The sequence below is a fragment of the Homo sapiens genome, chromosome 20 (genome assembly GCF_000001405.40).
Source record: "Homo sapiens chromosome 20, GRCh38.p14 Primary Assembly".
Taxonomy (NCBI): Eukaryota; Metazoa; Chordata; class Mammalia; order Primates; family Hominidae; genus Homo; species Homo sapiens.
The window spans coordinates 17,892,956-17,913,711 of NC_000020.11; the positions used below are offsets into that span (position 1 = coordinate 17,892,956).

Below are 20,756 nucleotides of genomic sequence, written 5' to 3' on the forward strand. Positions count from 1 at the left end.
TGGAAGCCACCTAAGTGTCCATCAACAGATGATTGGATAAAGAAAATGTGGTACATATACACAATGGAGTACCATTCTGCCATAAAAAAGAATGAGATCCTGTCATTTGCAACAACATGAACGGAACTGGAGGTTCTTATGTTAAGTGAAACAAGCCATGCACAGAAAGACAAACTTCACATGTCCTCACTTATTTGTGGGAGCTAAATATTACAACAATTGAACTCATGGTGATAGAGAGTAAAAGGATGGTTACCAGAGGCTGGGAAGGGTAGTGGGGTGGGGGTAGAGTGGGGATGGTTAACGGATACAAAAATATAGTTAGATAGAATAAATAAGATCTAATATTTGATAGCACAACAAACTGACAGCAGTCAACAATAGTATATTATACATTTAAAGACAACTAAGAGTATAACTGGATTGTTTGTAACACAAAGAAAGGATAAATGCTGGCTGGATGCAGTGGCTCATGCCTGTAATCCCAGCACTTTGGGAGGCTGAGGCGGGTGGATCATGAGGTCAGGTGTTCAAGACCAGCCTGGCCAACATAGTGAAACCACATCTCTACTAAAAATACAAAAAAAAAAAAGGGAAATTCAGATACACGTTACAACATGGACGAATCTTGAGGACATTATGCTCAGTGAAATAAGCCAGTCACAGAAGGACACATACTGCATACAAGGTACCTAAAGTGTCAAATTCACAGACAGAAAGTAGAATGTGGTTGCCAGGGCCTGCAGAGAGAGGGAATGGGGAGTTATTTAATGGGTATAGAGTTTCAGTTTTGCAAGATGAAAAGTTCTATTACACAACAAGGTGCAAACAGTTAATACTACTGTACTATACACTTATAAATGGTTCAGATGGTAAATTTTATGCTATGTGTTTTTTTTACTACAATTAAAAATAAAATTGTCTCATCAAGGAGCAAGCACCCTGGGGTTTTCATACAACTCCCATCCCTCGCCCACCAGCTGAGAATCACTCTTGAGGTGTTAACTCCCCACACTCCAAGGGCCATAGAGCATGCCCTGTAGAGAGATACAGGGAGCCACAGGCACACATGGAATGGTCTGAGGTCACCTCCCAGTGCCCGGGAGACATTGGGGCACTGACCACATCTGCCATATCATTTACCTTTGAGTCCTCTGTAAAACAGGAATGATAAATACCTACCTCGATAGACCAGTTGCAAAGGCTACTTTGAACATACGCAGACTTAGACTTAACACAGTGCCTGGCCCACAGTTAAAATGTTATAATCAGGCTGGGTGGTGTGATGGCTCCCACCTGTAATCCTAACACTTTGGGAGGCTGAGGTAGGAGAGTTGCTTGAGCCCAGGAGTTCGAGACCAGCCTGGTCAACATAGCAAGACCCCATCTCTACAAAACTTTTTAAAATTAGCTGGATGTTCATCTGAGATGTGAGGATCTGAAAAAAAAAATTAGTCTGATGGGCTGGCCCACGCCTATAGTCCCAGCTGCTTGGGAGGCTGAAGCAGGAGAATCCCTGGAACCCTGGAGGTTGAGGCTGCAGTGAGCTATGATGGTGCCACTGCATTCCAACCTGGGTGACAGAGTGAGATTCTGTCTCTAAATAAATAAATAATTTAAAAATTAGTGGGGTGGCTGGGTGCAGTGGCTAACACCTGTAATCCCAGCACTTTGGGAGGCCGAGACAGGCGGATCACCTGAGGTCGGGAGTTCAAAACCAGCCTGACCAACATGGAGAAACCCCGTCTTTACTAAAAATATAAAATTAGCCGGGAGTGGTGGCACATGCCTGTAATCCCAGCTACTCGGGAGGCCGAGAGGCAGGAGAATCGCTTGAACCTGGGAGGCAGAGGTTGCAGTAAGCTGAGATCCCGCCATTGCACTCCAGCCTGGGCAACAAGAGCGAAACTCCGTCTCAAAAAAAAAAAAAAAAAATTAGCAGGGCATGGTGGCACACACCTGTAGTCCCAGTTACTTGGGAAGCTGAAGTGGGAGGATCCCCTGAGCCCAGGAGTTCCAGGCTGCAGTGAGCTATGAACAAGCCACTGCACTCACTCCAGCCTGGGCAACACAGCAAGGCTGTCTCTTAAAACAAACAAAAAGACTATAATCATTGTACACATCTGCCTTGTCTATTGGCAGGAACAGCGCCAGGACGGCAGGGGAAGAGCTCCGTTTCCCTCCCTGCTCTGGCTCCCTTTAAAGGTGGCTGCCTCTCAGCCTCCTGGCCCACCCGGCCTTCAGGGCCACAGGCCTCAAGCCAGCTGGACACCTCACACCGGACAGCTCTGCCCTGGGAATCCTGGAACCCCCTGCTAGTAGGCGCCACGACCCAGGTCGAGGAATGCCCTCAGCACAGAGACTGTCCCCTGGGGCAGCTCGCCCTACTGCCTGATAAGGGCGGCTCCTTCGCGGCTCCCAGACTCTGGAGCCTGCGGGCTGGGCTGCAGCCAAACGCAGACACCCCTCTAATGCCGACAGCCTGGCCCCCTTACCCTGTAGCTCTCCGCCCTCAGGATGCATTCTTCCCCAGAAGCTCCCTGCCCACCCCCACCTGGAAGGCCTCCCTCGTCTGAATCAGGGCGCACACAGCTGAGTCTCCAGCGCGGACACCCCGTCACCCCAACACCCTTCTCCTCCCCCCGAACAACCGCTTACGATTTTTAGAAATCAGTAAAATACATGCCCAGCTCCAAACTTTTGGAAGCGCCTCAGAGTTTTGCAGAGCATAGCAGTGGTTCTGGGCTCCCCAGTGCACCCCAGACTTGGCTCCCTCCTGCCCAGCCCACAGCCGCGTCCCGAGAGTGAAGGGGAAGCACAGGCAGCCCTTTCCGCCGCCCCCGCTGGCATGACATCACCTTCCCCACGCCGAGAAGCTGAAGTCTTTCTCATTTTGTTTCATGCTCCAAGCGCAGCTTTAAAAACCTTTCCTGGAGGTGGGGAGGGAAAATACCCAAAATATTAGCCGTGGCTACAGCTGGGTGTAGGATGCAGGGAGTTACTGTTTCCTTCTTTATACGTTTGTATTTTCCACAATGACCACATTCTATTTTTTATTGTCAGGAAAACGAATGAGTGTTTTTTAAGTAAGCAATTTAGAAGCCTATTTGGTTGCCTTCAGCATTTTTCAGGGCCTCAGCTCGTTTCTGGAGCCAGCTTTTCAGCCGCTCTTCTCTCCGTTCTCTCGCTCTCTGAGTGGAGTTCTCTGCCTTCCACCCTTTGCTTCTGTCCTTTGAAAATGTGAGCGAAGCACAGTTGCTTGTGCAAACCACACCAGCCTCCTGAGATCCTCTCGATTTTCCTTCTCACTGGGAATATTTTTCATCAGAATTTATTCTCCCAAACTAAGAAAGGGACCTCATGTCCCCGCTCATCTGATGCACTGAGAACACAGCATCATTTTCCCAGTATTCTTGCCAAGAATACACAACCTGAGGCTTATCATGAGGAAACATCAGGCAGACCCAAACTGAAGGACATTCTACAAGAAAACTGCGTGGACTCTTCAAAAATGTCAAGGTCAGGAAAGACAAAGAAAGCCCAAGGAACTGTCGCCGATTGGAGGAGATTAGAGACAGGGCAACCAACTGCAGCACGTGATCTGGGATATTGTGTTGCTATAAAGGACATTACTGGGACAGTTGGTGACATCTAAATCTGAATACGGTCTGTAGATTAGCTAATTGTATTGAATCAGTGTTCGTTTCCTGACTTAGTCACTGCACTGTGGCTGTGTAGCAGAATGTCCTTTACTTTTTAGGAATTATACACTGAAGCTTTGGGAGATAGAGGGCATCACATCTGCAATTTACTCTCTTATGATTCAGAAAAATATATATATTTGTACACACAGACAGAGAAAACAGTAAGGCAAATGTGGCAAAAATGTTAATATTTGGGGAATCTTGATGAAGAGTTTAAAAAAAAATCCTTTTGTTCTGTTCTTAGAATTTTTCTGTAAGTCCCTTTGCTTCTGACCTCTGGGTTAATGCAGTTGACACAACAGCCTGACTCCTAGGCTGACTGCTGACTAATTCTTTGCTTGATGCTCTTGACCTTGGACTGTGTCCTCCCCCGATTTAGCCCCTGTAGAGACAGTGAGCAGGAAGACTAGTTTGGTGAATAATAAATCCGCTGTCACTGCCACCATCACCACCAACAGGGGCAGAGGGACTTTTGCTGAGCACTCACTATGTAAGTCAATGCTCCCATACCCTGAGTGATGTACACAGTACTTCACTCAGTCCTCACAGTAGTCTTCTGAGGTTGCCATTACAATCCCCAATCTACAGATAAAGAAACTGAGGCTCAGAGAGATGAACTCACTTACCTAACGTCACAGCAGCTATTAAGTGGCAAGGCCAGAATTGACCCACAAATCTCTAGAACCCCACAGTCTTACACTAATCTGCCCTGACACTGGTAAGGAGACTGACTGGCTGTACTCTGTTCTGATATTTTCTCTCCTGATTCTCCTTTGCTGAAATAATAGAAACAAAAATAATTGTACCAGCCATAAAAAAATGAAATCCTGTCATTTTCAACAACATGGATGAACTTGGAGGACATCATATTAAGTGAAATAAGCCAGACACAGAGAGACAAATACTGCATGATCTCACTCATATGTGGAATCTAAAAAAAAAAAAAAAAAAAATTGATCTCATAGAAGAAGAGTCAGAGAGTCCAACAGTGGTTACCAGAGCCTGGGAAGGGCAGGGGAGAGGGGAGGATGGGGAGAGGTCGGTCAACAGGTACAAATTACAATTAGATGGGAGGCATAAATTCTGGGGTTCTGTTACACAGTAGGGTGGCTATGGTTAACAGTAAGATATTGTATATTACAAAATAGCTAGAGGAGAGGCTTTTGAATGTTCTCACCACAAGGGAATGATAAATGCCTAAGGTGATTGACATGCTAACTACCCTAATTTGACCATTATACAATATATGTATTAAAATATCAAACTGCACCCCATACCTATGTACAATGATAATGTGTCAATTAAACTAATTAATTTTAAAAAATTATTATAAAGCTATGCTGCTCCATAGAGTGACCACATGTAGCTGTTTAAATTTAATAAGGCTGGGCATGATGGCTCATGCCTGTTATCCCAGCACTTTGGCAAATCAAAGCAGAGAATTGCCTGAGGCCATGTGTTCAAGACCAATCTGGGCAACACAGTGAGATCCATCCCTAGAAAAAATAATTTTAAAATGAGCTGGGTGTGGTGATGCTTGCCTATAGTCCTAGCTTGACTGGGAGTTTGAGGCTGCAGTGAGCTATGGCATGCCACTGCACTCCAGCCTGGGCAACCAAGCTGAGCTCTGTCTCTAAAAATTAATCAGTTAATTAATTAATTAATTAGAATTAAGTAAAATCTGAAATTCAGTTCCTCAGTCTCACTAGCCACATTTCAACTGCTGATTAGCTCCATGTGGCTTGTGGCTACAATTATTGGACAGAGCAGATTGTAAAACATTTCTAACACGGCAAAAAGTTCTATTGGACAATGCCGTTCCAAAAACTTTTACATGTGTTCATGAAGATACAAAAAATGAAAAATAAACAAAAAAAAATTTACATACCCTTCACTGACCAAGATAATTTTTTATTCAAAGTTAACTTATTTTTAAGATAAAACTTCAAACACAAAATTGACTTCAACACTGTTCTCACTTGTCACACAGAAACCAACTTTTCAGCCGCGGCAGCATCAGGTGTTAGGGAGAGACACCTCCTGGCAGCACATGGAATTACAACCTAGCACAATCAGACACTGGAACCAGCCAGGGACTGGGTTTCAGCAGCCATCGGTGGAATACCAGGAGATTCCCAAGAGTGGGAGAAAAATCCCATACCAAGAAACAATCATGGATAAGGCACCAGGAAGACATACTAGGTTACAAAAGCCCATCCAAGGCCAGGCGCAGTGGCTCACGCCTGTAATCCTAGCACTTTTGGAGGCCAAGGCGAGCAGATCACTTGAGGTCAGGAGTTCGAGACAAAAGCCCATCCACCACCAGACATAAATCTCCTGTGTCACATCCCTCAAGCCATGCATGGCTGCACAGAGATACATAATAATAAGTGTCGGTCATTTGAATAAATAAATGATTGATTGATTAATTCTGATTATTTCAGAACTCTACCATTAAGCATTTTATTGTCTTCTTTAACATTCTTTTTCAGTTGGACACATATTATGAAGGGAATGTAGAGCTGGGATTTACTGCTTCAAACAACTTAGCTGACACAGAAGTGTTCGATGATCAAGGAACGTCTGGACTTTAGCAAAATCATCAAGAACAAGAAAACATCAAGATGAGTTTCTGGTAAAGCATAAAAAGAAGTTCCTGGCTAGGCACGGTGGCTCACGCCTGTAATCTCAGAACTTTGAGAGACCAAGGAGGACAGATCACTTGAGTCCAGGAGTTTGAGACCAGCCTGACCAACATGGTGAAACCCCGTCTCTACTAAAAATACAAAAAGTAGCCAGGCATGGTGGTGTACATCTGTGATCTCAGCTACTCAAGAGGCTGAGGCACGAGAATCGCTTGAACCTGGGATGCAGAGGTTGCAGTGAGCTGAGATCATCCCACTGCACTCCAGCCTGGGCAACAGAGTGAGACTCTGTCACAAAAAAAAGAAAGAAAGAAAGATGTTCCCATTTTTTTTTCCTTTGGCCCAAGATGGTGGAAATGAAAGATGGCTTACTGGATTGGGAAATGGATTGGACCCTAAATCATTCTTTATCCACTCGTTCCACAGATACTGATTGGGCCTCTTGGTAGCCAGGCGGCGGGATGATGAGTAGTGCTGGAGGCCACTTAGCTGAGTTGTGCACACAAAATAACACAATGCACAAAAGGTTTATCTTCAGGAACTCATCCCGGGTAGAACAAGTGCTCAGCAGAGATCTGGGCTGGTGAAGGCAGCTTGCGGTCCCTGACTCTTCTGAGAACCTGGGGATCCAGGTTCAGGGAGACCAACGCTATTGGATACAAATCTTGAATTTAAAGAAATTGGGATGTAAATAATGATGCAATCCCCGAGGCTCATGGAGTACCCCAGTGACAGGAGAGGTTTTCCATGGGATTCAAGCAGGCTAATCAGCAAGACAATCTGGGCTGTCTCAGTGAGCCGTGGCCTGAGGCTACTTGTGGGCCACCTGTCCAGAATTGGAGGGGTCCCAGGGTCTGATGTAGCTTCAGAGAGATGGAATAGTAAAGAGGATCATGCATTGCAAAGTCCACAACAGCCCCCCAAAACAAGGACAGTCCCCTTATTTGATGAACTTTTGTTGGGTTCCTGTCTTGTGCCGAGCTGTGTGCTAGGTTCTGGGGAGACAGAGACCAATAAGCTTCAGAGACCTGAGAAGTAGGGTCCTTCTCTTCTTCATCACTTTCTTCACAAACCCACTTCAGTTTCCTCTTAACTCCTGGCATGAGTAAGGTGCTATTTCATAACCCTTTTATCTTTATTAAAGGTGTCAGGTATCCAATAGGAAAAAAAATGCACAAATGAATTTAAAAGGCATTCACACAAAAGGATATCAAAATGGCCAGTAAGTTCATAAAAAGATGCTCAACATCAGCCAGGCGCGGTGGCTCATGCCTGTAATTCCAGAACTTTGGGAGGTCGAGATGAGTGGATCCCTTGAGGTCAGGAGCTTGAGACCAGCCTGGCCAACATGGTGAAACCCTGTCTCTACTAAAAACACAAAAAATTAGCCAGATGTGGTAGCACATGCCTGTAATCTCAGGTACTTGGGAGACTGAGGCAGGAGAATCATTTGAACCCAGGAGGCGAAGGATGCAGTGAGCCGAGATTGCGCCAGCACACTCCAGCCTGGGCAACAGAGCGAGACTCCGTCTCAAAAAAAAAAAAAAGATGCTCAACCTCAATGGTTACAGGGAAATGCAAATTAGACCCACAATATGCTGTGACTATACACTCCCTAGAATGGCTAAAATTAAATTTCTGAAAATATCAAGCATTGGTGAGGATGTGGAGGAAGTGAACTCTTACATGCTGCTGGTGGAAGTATAAACCAGTACAAGCACTTTGGAGAACCATTTGGCAGTTTCTTCTAAAATTAAACATACACTCACCATGTGACCAAGCAGTTCCACTCCTGGGTATATACCCTGAAAGAAATGAGTGCGTACACACACCAAAAAACATGTACAAAAATACACATTGCTGCTAAATCGATAACAGCCAAAAACTAAATACAACTCAAATGCCCATCAATAGAAGAATAGATAAATACATTGTGGTGTACAGCACAGCAAGAAAAATGAATGGGTTGCTCTTACGTGAAATATGAATGAATCTCAAAAACACAATATTGATCACAAGATATCAAATAAGCCAGGCACAGTGTGGCTCACACCTGTAATCCCAGAACCTTGAGAGGCTGAGGCCAGAGGATCCCTTGAGTCTAGGAACTTAAGACCAGCCTGGGCAACATAGGGTGACCCCATCTCTACAAAAAAATTTTTTAAAAATTAGCTGGGTGTGGTAGTGTGCACCTGTAGTCCCAGTTCCTCGGGAGGCTGGAGCGGGGGCACCGCTTGAGCCCAGGAGTTCAAGGCTGCATTGAGCTATGGTCACACCACTGCACTCCAGCCTGAGTCACAGAGGACTAAGACCCCTTTTTAAAAAATAAAAATAAAAAATAAAAAAATAAAAGGCAAAACTTATCTACATATGATGAGAGAGGTCAGAATAGTGTCTACTTGTTTAGGGCAGTGGGAGATGGGGATTGAGTGAGAAAGGGCCTGAAGGAACTTACTAGAATGATGGAAATGTTCTCTATCCTGATCTTGGTGGTTGTTACATGAGTGTATACATAGGTAAAAATTCATTGAGCATCCACTTAAGATTTGTGTATTTTACTATATGCAAATTATGCATCAATAAAAGAGCAAAAACAATCAAAACTCTTAGGTGACCACACCTGATATAAGCATGGCTGATACATTAAAAAGCTTGCATATATTACAATGAATACCATCATTTGGGAATTTAATATAATTTTGTAACAGCCTCAGAAACAGTCATATTCCAGAGGCCCTTGGCAACAGCTTTGTTGCTTACAGCTCACCAGCACCAAAAGGGACCCGTCGCTTTCCAACCAAGGGGGCTGTGGCCCTGCCCAGAACTCTCAAGGGATCCACCTTTCTGGGTCGAACTCTCACAGCTCCCAGAGTACCTGGGGCCAAGCACGTGAGCTGCCAGCAGGCCTTAGCACCCTGGGATGCCAGACCTGCTCAAACTTGGAGAGGGTCCTACAGGTCCTTGGAGGAAAATTACAAGCCCCAAGTACACTGGACACACAGAGTTTGCCTGTGATGAAAACTTAGATGAAGGAAGAAGCCCTTTAGGAGGGTCTTTCTTGTCTTCTGCAGATGTGCGGCTCTAGCCGTGCTGCAACGCAGACCATGGACCAGGAGCTCCCAACCTCAGCTGCACAGCACAGGGGAGCATTGGAACATGGGATGCCCGGACCGTCTGACCCACACCAACTGAATCAGAATCTTTAATATGGTGTTTCTCAGAGGGCCCCCTGGAGCCACAGCAACATTGTCACCTGGGAACCTGTTAGAAATGCACATTCTCAGGCCCCACTTCAGACCCACTGAATTCTGTGGCCAGCCCCAGCAATCTTTGTTCTGACTGTTCTCACAGTCCCTGCCAGGGGTTCTGATGCATGTGGAAGTGTGGGACCTAATTAGAAACTGCATTTCTAGCAAGTTTCCAGGCGGTGCAGATGTGGCTGCTCTGGGGACTACACTCTGAAAACCACCAGAGTCTAACTGTCTAATGGGTAGAGCCAAGCTCTGGGAGAGAGTGGGGGAAATTAAAAGCTACCCAGGTGAGTGGCTCTGATGCAGGTGAGAGTAATTAGCATTGCCATAGCCTCTCATCGTCTCATCTGACAAGAGGTACACAGCTGGAGAGGGAGCTCACACAGGTGAGGGCGTTACAGGAGAAGAAATACCATCTCCTCAATTTGACCTGTCTGTGGTCTCTTCATTTCTATAACACTGCAATTTGGGGTTCCTGGTACGGCAGAATTTAGGTTCTAGGTGCCTAGCCCTGAGAATTTGTTCTGGCAATATTGAAGCTGGAGACGTTTTTGTTAGAACACTTTGCATAAAAGCCTTTATGGGGAAGGGGACCTGATTTTACCTTAAAAAGCTAATTTTTGGCCCAAGATAGATGAGACTTAGAAGGGGAGAGGAAGTAAAGGAGGAGTAAAGAGAATGAAAAGAAGAGATGATGTGCAGGGCTGGGGAGGAGAGAGCAAATGGGGAGGAAGAGAAAGAACTGTGAGAGAAGGACTGAAAGATCGTCTCTCCTTTCCAAGGAGCGTCCGCCCTCTCTCTTTTTTTAAAATTGAGCACTGAGAAGGGATTTATGCAAGACTGGGTGCAAGAGCTGGGCAAGCTGATATGCAAAGCAGGAAAGCAAAGGATTGAAAGGAGTCAAAGTGCTGTCTTTGGCAGCACATGTATAAAATTGGAATGAAGGCCGGGCACCGTGGCTCACGTCTGTAATCCCAGCACTTTGGGAGGCTGAAGTGGGCGGATCACTTGAGGCCAGGAGTTCGAGACCAGTCTGGCCAACATGATGAAACCCGTTTCTACTAAAACTATGAAAACTAGCCGGGCGTGGTGGTGCATGCCTGTAATTCCAGCTACTCGGGAGGCTGAAGCAGGAACTCAGGAGGCACAGGTTTCAATGAGCCGAGATCACGCCACTGTACTCCAGCCTGGGTAACAGAGTGACACTCTGTCTCTAAATAAATAAATAAAACTGGAACAATACAGAGAAGATTAGCATGGCCCCTGCAAGGATGACACACGAATTCATGAAAAGTTCCATATCAATAAAAATTATTTTAAAATTTTTTTAAAAGAATGAGTTAAAGGAGACCCCAAAGGAGTGAGTGGGGGCTGGAGGCCAGGCCCACCATGGCAGAGGGTCAGACTTCATCAGGGTGAAAACTTCCTGCTGTGAAAAGCCAAACTACAGACTGGGAGAAAATGTTCACAGCACCTGTATCTGAAAAAGGATTTGCATTCCAAATACATAAAGAACCCATACAACTCACTAATAGGAAGGCAAACAGTGAAAACTGAGCAAAAGACATGAACAGACACTTCACAAAGGACATGCAAATGGCCAGCACGCACAGGAAGAGATGCTCACCCTCAGTAGTCTTCAGGGAGATGCAGAATGAAACCACAGTAAGATGCTACCTCACACTCACAAGCATGGCTGAAAATAAAAAGATGTGTAATACCAGTATTGGTTAGAATGTAGGGCAGCTGAAACTCCTAGCTCACTGGCAGGAACTTAAAATAGTACAGGCTGGATGCAGTGGCTCACGTCTGTAATCCCAGCACTTTGGGAGGCCAAGACGGGCAGACTGCTTGAGCCCAGGAGTTTGAGACCAGCCTGGGCAATGTGGCAAAACCCCATCTCTACTAAAAATACAAAAAATTAGCTGGGTGTGGTGGCATGCATCTGTAATACCAACTACCCCAGCAGGCTGAAGTGGGAGAATCACCTGAGCCAGGGAGGTCGAGACTGCAGTGAGCTGTGATCATGCTACTGCTCTCCAGCCTGGGTGATAGAGTGAGACCCTGTCTCAAAAAATAAAGATACAAATAAAATAAAATAGTACAACTGCTTGGGAGAACTACTGGAGTTTATTTTAAATCTAAACAAACACCCACCATTTGACCCAGCAATTCTACTGTTATGTATTTACTGAAGTACCATAAAAACATAGGCCCACAAAAAGACTTGTACACAAATGTGAATAGGCGTAAGTAGCTAGTGGCCACCATAATGCTGTTGGATTTGATTGCTCAAAAGCTTGTGGAAGTCTACATTGGAATAATAGGTTGCCTTTTTAAAAGGCTTGTATCCAAATGTGCGTAACAGCTTTATTCACGATTGCTAAAAATTGGAAACAATTCAAGTAATCCATCAACTAGGAAATGGGTAAACAAAATTTGTTCTCTTCATAGAAAGGGATAGTAATAAAAAGATTGAAATTACTAATAGATGCAACAACATGGATGAGTCTTAAAATCACTGTGTAAAATAAAAGCTGGATGCAAGAGTGCCTACCATATGATTCATTTATATAAAATTTTTAAACAAAGAGAACTAATTTATAGTTACAGAAAGCAGATCAACGATGAACTGGGACTGAGGTGACTGCAAGTGGGGGACTAAAACACTTTCTGGGGTGATGGACAGGTGTTATATCTTGTTTAGGTGCATGCATTTGTCAAAAGTTGTCCAACTGAATGCTTAAAATGTATGAATGAGTTTTATTGTATGTAAATTATACCTCAATAACGTTTATTTAAAATGAATTGGCCGGCACGGTGGCTTACGCCTGTAACCCCAGAACAGCACTTTGGGAGGCTGAGGCGGGTAGATCACCTGAGGTCAGGAGTTCAAGACCAGCCTGGCCAACATGGTGAAACCCTGTCTCTACTAAAAATACAAAAAAAAAAAGAAAAAAAAATTAGCCGGGCGTGGTGACAGGCACCTGTAATCCCAGCTACTCGGGAGTCTGAGGAAGGAGAATTGCTTGAACCCAGGAGGCGGAGGTTGCAGTGAGCCGAGATCGTGCCATTGCACTCCAGCATGAGAGACAGGGCAAGACTCCGTCTCAAAAATAAATAAATAAAATGAATCAAAAATAAAAATATAAAAAAATAGCAGAAAAGAAAAAAGGACAAGAATAAAATAAAAATAAAGAAAAGAAAAATAAAGAAAAAAATAAGAAACTTTGTGGTAAAAATAATAAAACAGTAAAATAGGAAGAGCACACAGAATGGGAAGAGAAATGGACCAAGGTGAAAACCGTGAAGAGCTGTCGAACTTGAAGAATAGAAAAGGAAGAATGAGCAGAGATGCACAGGCAGAGGTCAGAATGAAGTCCTCTGGGGGTCAAAGAAGTAAGAAGCTTGGTGGCCACAGACAGCAGAGAGTTAAAAGAGCCAAGGGGGCCAGCCAGTAAGATTAATGCCTGGAGAGGGCTGTAGGATGGGGCCCGAGTGGAGAAGTGACTCCTGAGAGGCCAGTTCTGAAGGTGGGTTGAGGGGTGATAACTTGGGCTGAGGGAGCAGAGAAGGAGCCTTCGGCAGCTTTGTCAGGGAGCCTGGGGAAGGAGAGTGGGCTCCAACAGGAGGCTGCTGGGAGAACCCCAGGGGAAACCCACCTGGTGGCCTCAATCTCCTGACACTGTCTTTCACGTCTTCATTCCTACACAGGGATAGATATTGCTATTTGACCACTGCCCCTGCACAAGGTGTGCCAAAAGTCCCCAAGCCCCTTTCCCATAAGAAGTTTACTGTATGTTTGCACTGAGGAAAGCTAAATAAGCTAGGTGAATTCCCCACCCCAAATTCCTAGGGATGCCGCTGGCTTGCCCCACCAAATCGGTCTCTCCTATCTGCCTGTATTGCTGGTGGGAATGTACTTTGGTTTGACTTCCATAGGAGCTGGTTTGGCAAAAACTATCAAAACTACAAATGCACACTGGAGGTACAAATACAACAGGAGGTATTTATGCTACGATAAACTTGCACACGGATGAAACCATGTATGTACTTGGTTATTTGTTGCCTCATTGTGATGCTGTTTGATCAAAACAGACCCAAATGCCCCTCAAGAAGGCCATTAGATAAATACTAATATGTTTTGTTTTGTTTTGTTTTGTTGAGATGGGGTTTCACTCTTGTTGCCCAGGCTGAAGTGCAATGGCATGATCTTGGCTCACTGCAACCTCTGCCTCCTAGATTCAAGTGATTCTCCTGCCTCAGCCTCTCGAGTAGTTGGGATTACAGGTGCCCATCACAACACCCAGCTACTTTTTGTATTTTTAATAGAGACAGGGTTTCGCCATGTTGGCCAGGCTGGTCTTGAACTCCTCACCTCAGGTGATCCACCCACCTCGGCCTCCCAAAGTGCTGAAATTACAGGCATGAGCCACCTCACATGGCCGTATTTTTTTTTTTTTTTTGAGACAGAGTCTTGTTCTGTCGCCCAAGTTGAAGTGCAGTGGCGCAATCTTGGCCCACTGTGACCTCCGCCTCCCAGGTTCAAGCAATTCTCGTGTCTCAGCCTCCCAAGTAGCTGGGATTACAGACGTGCACCACTATGCCCAGCTAATTTTTGTGTTTTTAGTACAGACGGGGCTTCACCATGTTGGCCAGGCTGGTCTCGAACTCCCAACCTCAGGTGATCAGCCTCAGCATCCCAAAGTGCTGGGATTACAGGCGTCAGCCACCATGCCCAGCCTTAATATGTATTAAGTATGTATATTCATCTTAGTCCATTTGTGTTGCTATAAGAAAATACCTTAAACTGGGTATTTTGAAATTTATTTATTTATTTATAGACAGGGTCTCACTGCTACCTTCATCTTCCAGGCTCAGGCTATCCTCCCACCTCAGCCTCCCGAGTAGCTGGGACCACAGGCGAACACCACCACATCCAGCTGATTTTTTGTGTTTTTGGTAGAGAGGGTTTCACCATGTTGCCCAGGTTGGTCTCAAGCTGCTGAGCTCAGGTGATCTGCCTGCCTTGGCCTCCCAAAGTGCTGGGGTTACAGGCATGAGCCACCAGGCCCAGCCTTGAAACTTATTGTATTTATTACAGCTCTGTTGACTGGAAAGTCCAAGATCCATCATTGCTGCCTGGTGAGGGATGCTCTCTGCTTCCAAGATGGCACCTTGCCGCTGTGTGCTCACATGGTAGAAAGTGGAAGGACAAGAGACTGCTCCCTTCAACCTCCAGCCCTTTCATAAGGCTGCTAATCCCAGTCATAAGAGCAGAGCTCTCATGACTTAATCACCTCCCAAAGGCTATACCTCTTAATACTGGTACATTGGGGATTTCATTTCAACAGGAATTTTGGAGGGGATTGCATATTTATTGTACTTTATTCATAATTTAATATCTATTTTAAAAATTATAGCCACATGCATGCAATGGATACTATTCAGGCACAAAAAACAGGATTCTCTCTATATACAGACATCGAAAGTCTTCCGAGTTATATTATCAAGTGAAAAGAAAAGCAAGACACATAACAGTTATATAGTACAAAATCTTTTTCCTTTTTTTTTTGAGACAGAGTCTTGCTCTGTCACCCAGGCTGGAGTACAGCGACACAATCTTGGCTCACTGCAATCTCCGCCTCCCAGGTTTAAGAGATTTTCGTGCCTTAGCCTCCCAGGCAGCTGGGACTACAGGCATGCACCACCACACCCGGCTAATTTTTGTATTTTTAGTAGAGACAGGGTTTTGCCATGTTGGCCAGGCTGGTCTCAAACTCCTGACCTCAAGTCATCCTCCCACCTTGGCCTCCCAAAGTGCTGGGATTACAGGTGTGAGCCACTGCACTCAGCCTACAGTACAAAATCATTTGTGGGGTTTTTTTTTAAAGGTATGTGTATGGAAGCTGGGTGTGGGAGGCTTACACCTCCCAGCACTTTGGGAGGCTGAGGCAGGAGGATTGCTTGAGCTCAGGAGTTTGAGACCAGCCTGGCCAACATGGTGAAATTCCATCTCTACGAAAAATGCAAAAATAAGTCGGGTGTGGTGGTGTGTGCCTGCAGTCCCCGCTACTCAGGAGGCCAAGGTGTGAAGGTCGCTTGAGCCCAGGAGGCTGAGGCTGCAGTGAGCTGTCATTGTGCCACTGCGTTCCAGCACAGGCGACAGAGCAATATCTTCTCTCAAAATTTTAAAAAAGGTGTATGGGGTAGGGTGTAAAAGAATATATTTGCTCTGTCACCCAGGCTGGAGTACAGCGACACAATCTTGGCTCACTGCAATCTCTGCCTCCCAGGTTTAAGTGATTTTCGTGCTTCAGCCTCCCAAGCAGCTGGGACTACAGGCACGCACCACCACACCTGGCTAATTTTTGTATTTAAAATACACCTCCCCCATAAAGTCTTTGCAGGTGTTGGGGAGTGAACCCAGGAGGTGGAGCTTGCAGTGAGCCAAGATCACGCCACTGCACTCCAGCCTGGGTGACAGAGCGAGACTCTGTCTCAAAATAAATAAATAAATAAATAAATAATTTAAAAAAAAACTTTACTCTTGGGTTCAATACTGGGGGATTGCAAATTAAACTGAAAAAAAGACAGATTAGCAAGAAAAAAGAGTTTAATTACCCGGGGAATGCACAGACACATAGAAGTGCTCAATGACGGAGTGGTTAGAACTGGGGGCTTATATGCCTTAGAAGGAGAATAGGAGGGCTACCATGGGAAGAACAAATAGATTTACAAATGGGTTTTTAGGAGAAGAAACAGGGTATTTTAGAAGTTTGTGATGAGGTTTATTTATGCAGGTGCAAATAGTCTCTGTGTCTTCCTCATGGCCATGAAACTCCCCTGAATAGAAGATTTGTGGTAGGTTTATTCTTGGTCCCTCTCCTGGAAGTGGAAGCTGCCCCAAAGACAGAATGTATGGCAGTCTTCAGTTCCAAGTGGGCCGCACACAAGGATACACAAGAAACTGATAATAGTGGTTACACATTTGAAGGGCAGGGGATAGAGGTGAATGAAAACCAAGAAGTTGTGAACAGGGACTTGGGAAGACGTTTTTAGAAATTTTTTCATCTTTATTTTTTAAATTTTAGAAAGATATGAATATATTGCCCATTCAGAAACAAACAAACAAACAAAAAACCCTAGGTTCTAAGAGTGATTGTAATTCATTTAAGGAGTGGTTTCCCCCTATTTAGGAAAAGATGGATCGTGCCTCATTAGCAAGGCCTAGTGGGATTCAGCCCTGAGGGAGGTGCAGGAGATTTTATCATCATCTTTGTCAGCATCACTGCACTTTCTACAGAGAAGGTTACAGAACAGGGTCAGGTCGTCGCCCTTTCTACTTTGCTTAGAGGGACGCTTACAGCCTGTGTCAGCTGTCAGTCCCAAGACCTCTGTCTCCCCAGTCTCCTCCAGCCTCCAGAAAAACAAAGGCAGCTGTGGAGGGTAGAGGATGGGCTAGGGGTGGGACCCAAGACTCACTGGACAATGGAAACCTTTCCCCTTCAAGCAGATGTCAGGATTATTATTTGCACTTTGCATGTGGAAAAGAAGGACTGTAACACGCTGACAAATGCCTGCATCTTGTTCTAAAATTCCTGACTTGTTGCCAATAAAAGAATCAAAGTGCTTTCTAGCTCAGAGAAAAAGCTGCTGCTAATTTGAAGAAGATTCCAGAATAGAAATTCAGGTCAACCAAAGGTTTTTCAGACAGAGTTGATGAGCAGGTCTTACATGGCCTGAAATTCAAAGATACAAACCAGAGAAAGAAGAGATCAAAGCTCTTGTCCTGGGGACACATTAAAAACTAGATCTGGACACATCTCAGTTCTGGAGCCAAGCAATTCCTCCCTCAGGGTGTCGAAACTAGTCTTCTCCTCAGCCTAGAGCCCTCCTCTCTAAACCTGCTTATTCTGGCCCTGTCTTCTCATCTTGGTCTCATCTTGGTCTCTTTGAGGTAGAAAATCAGCAGGACTTATTTTCTGAGCACCTGTAAGGCCCCTGCTGATCAAAACTAGGATGCAGGGCCGGGCATGGTGGCTCTCATCTGCAATCCCAGCACTTTGGGAGGCCAAGGCGGGCGGATCGCTTGAGGTCAGGAGTTCGAGACCAGCCTGGCCAACATAGTGAAACCCCGTCTCTACTAAAACTACAAAAATTAGCCGGGTGCATTACGCGTGCCTGTAATCCCAGCTACTCAGGAGGCTGAGGCTGGAGAATTGCTTGAACCCGGGAGGCGGAGGTTGCAGTGAGCCAAGATCGTGCCACTGCACTCCAGCCTGAGTGACAGAGAGAGACTCCGTCATACACACACACACTCACACACACAAAAACAGGATGCAGTAAAGAAGCCAGCTGAAACCAGTACATGGCCACCAAAGTGACCTCTGGCTGCCCTCATTTTTCATTACTAAATAGACTCCCACCGGTGCCGTGACAGTTTACAAATACCATGGCAATGTACCGTGGCAATGACCCAGAAGTTACCTTATATGGTTCCAGGAACTCTCCACCCTTTTTCTAGAAAATTCTGAATGACTCACCCCTTCATTCGCATATAATTAACAGTGGGTATAAATAGAACTCCAGCAATCCAAGCGGTAGCTCCTGCTCTGATTCCTCCTCCACATTGCTACTGCTGCCTCACACTGCCACTGTTGCTCAGGACTGCTCTGTGGAGCAGCCAGTTTGCTGTACACTGCTCCTCTGGGCTACTCTGGGCTACTCTGTCTATGGGACAGCTCTGCCCTGTCTGCGGAGCCACCATTTTGCTATACACTATTGCTCTAATAAACTTGCTTTCTTTCACTGTCAACTCACTCTTGAATTCTTTCTTGAGCAAAGCCAATAACCCTCCCAGGCTAAGCCCCAATTTTGGGGTTCATCTACATCAGGCTCAGAGAGACCTTCTCCGATCATCCAAAATATACAGTCCATCCAATGTATCTAACATATTTCCTATTTTATTCTCTTCATAGCACTGACCACAAATGAATTCTTACTTATTTGCTTATCATCCTTCTCTTCCAGCTAGAATGTGCTCTCATGGTACAGTCGTACTGTTTTGTCTCCCTATGTCCCCAGTGTTTAGAACAGTTACTTAGTACACAGCAGGTGCTCAATCAATATAGGCTCAGTTAATGAAAAAATGATTAAAAGTTAAACTTGAGATGTCTGTGAAATATCCAAGGAGTGGTGTCAAGAAGAGAGTTGTCAAGTAGTCAAGTGTGGGAAAGATCCAACCTAGAGGTACATATTTGGGTATTACTGGAACAAACTCAGTTTTTTTAAAATTGATAAAAATTGATGACAACAGCAAAGGAGAATTTAAAGAAGGAAGAGCCTGAGCTCCAAGGAGCCCAAAATTTACAGGTTGGGTGGAGAAAAGGGAACAAGCAAAGAAGAGTGAAAGAGATCAGTGAGGTAGAAGGAAATCCAAGAGATAAGTTATCCCAGAGGCTAAGAGACAAGACTGTTTCAAGGATGAGGAAGCAGCCACCTATGTGGAACACCACCATTGGAATTGCCAGCATGGAGATTGTCTGGGCCCTGATAAGAGCAATTTCAAGGCAGCGGTGAGGGCAGAAACCACTGGTGGATGGGAGGTGAGGCAGTGGGAGCACTGAGTGTCAATGACTTCAGAAGTTTAACTGAGAAGACCAGCGGATAAATTGGATGTAGCTATAGGCAGATATAGCTCAAAGAAAAATTCTTAGCCAGGCGCAGTGGCTCACACCTGTAATCCTAACACTTTGGAAGGCCGAGGGGAGCAGATCACCTGAGGTCAGGAGTTTGAGACCATCCTGGCCAACGTGGTGAAACCCTGTCTCTACTAAAAATACAAAATTGCTTGAACCTGGGAGGCGGAGCTTGCAGTAAGCTGAGATCGTGCCACTGCACTCCAGCCCGGGTGACAGAACAAGACTCCGTCTTAAAACAAAAAAAAAAAAGGAAAAATAAAAGAAAGGTTCTTTTTCTGCTCAACTTTTTATTTTTATTTTTATTTTTTTTAAATTGGAAGAATTATATTACCAGATTTTAATACTTATTACAAAGCTATAGTCATCTTGACTTATGTGGTATTGGCAAAAGGAGAGATGTACAGATCAATGGGAGAAAATAAAAAGTCTAGAAATAGACCCATACCAATATGGCTAATTCCTAAAAATGAAAAACCTACAGAAAAGTTGAAAGGATAGAACAATGAACACTTCTGTACCCTTCACTTTAATCATTTGTCAACCCTTTGTCACATTTAATTCCCATGCACATACCCGCATGTATTCACTTTGGGGTAAATCACTGGAAATAAAGTTGCAGACCCCCCTGTATATCAGCATGCTTTTCCTAAGAACGAGCTCATTCTCCCACATGACCTCATGATATATCCCACTCAAAGAAATTTAGCATCAAAGTTATCTAATAAAGAGACCATATTCACATTTCCCCAAATGTTTAAAAATGTCCTTTGTAGCTTTTTCTCTGGTCCAGCATCCGATCAAGAGTCATGCATTCCATTTGGTTGCCACATCTCTGTAGTCTCCTTTAATCAGAAACAGTCCCCTGTATTTTTCTGTCTTTCATGCCACTGACATTGGAGAGTTTGGGCTGGTTGTCACGTAGCATGTCCCACATTCTGGATTGTCCTGATTTTTTTGTCATGATTGGATTCAGGTTAAACATTCTTGGCAAGAATATCACAGAGATGATATGAACTCTTAAGGGTGAATCTCTGTTAAAGGTGGACAACACTCAGCCTACTTAAATGCTGACAAAAAGGATCCAGTAGATGGGTGATAGAAATTGGAAGGAAATTTGGACGGGGAAGGAAATTAGAAAGATGAATGAAGTAATGAAGTTTTGAGTTGGCAAGAGAGGTGGAGTCAGAGCACAGGCAAAGGGGTTTGCCCTGACAGGGAGCAGACGCATTTCGTCGGTCGTAACAGACGAGAAGGAGAAGATGCTGACAATGAATGTGGTCTGAAATCGGGAGAAGGAGTGTGTTTGGATTTGATGGCTTCTTTTTGGATTTGACGGTCTTCTTCTCAGTAAAATAAGGCAGCATCTGCGGGTGAAACTGACAGTAAGAGTAGAAGAGTGGAGGGGAGTTTAGAGGAAGAGAAAGTATGACAAAGTCATTGGTGGCAGTGGCA

The 20,756-nt window shown here is 44.8% G+C and overlaps 1 pseudogene, besides 4 other annotated features; it reads left to right on the forward strand.

Annotated features, from left to right (window-relative positions):
- Positions 2,555–3,231: an enhancer, noted in NCBI's record as "H3K4me1 hESC enhancer chr20:17876154-17876830 (GRCh37/hg19 assembly coordinates)". NCBI's record gives its function as "activates a minimal SCP1, AML or CMV promoter by ChIP-STARR-seq in naive H9 embryonic stem cells {active_cell/tissue: H9 hESC(naive)}" and the evidence as "EXISTENCE:reporter gene assay evidence [ECO:0000049][PMID:30033119]".
- Positions 2,886–3,025: an enhancer, noted in NCBI's record as "active region_17567". NCBI's record gives its function as "activates an Ori minimal core promoter by ATAC-STARR-seq in GM12878 lymphoblastoid cells {active_cell/tissue: GM12878}" and the evidence as "EXISTENCE:reporter gene assay evidence [ECO:0000049][PMID:35858748]".
- RNU6-192P (RNA, U6 small nuclear 192, pseudogene) lies at positions 10,827–10,902 on the forward strand (annotated as a pseudogene).
- Positions 11,204–11,263: an enhancer, noted in NCBI's record as "active region_17568". NCBI's record gives its function as "activates an Ori minimal core promoter by ATAC-STARR-seq in GM12878 lymphoblastoid cells {active_cell/tissue: GM12878}" and the evidence as "EXISTENCE:reporter gene assay evidence [ECO:0000049][PMID:35858748]".
- Positions 14,105–14,266: a silencer, noted in NCBI's record as "fragment chr20:17887704-17887865 (GRCh37/hg19 assembly coordinates)". NCBI's record gives its function as "represses an EF-1alpha promoter that drives an FKBP-Casp9 reporter gene in an ReSE screen in HepG2 liver carcinoma cells {active_cell/tissue: HepG2}" and the evidence as "EXISTENCE:reporter gene assay evidence [ECO:0000049][PMID:32094911]".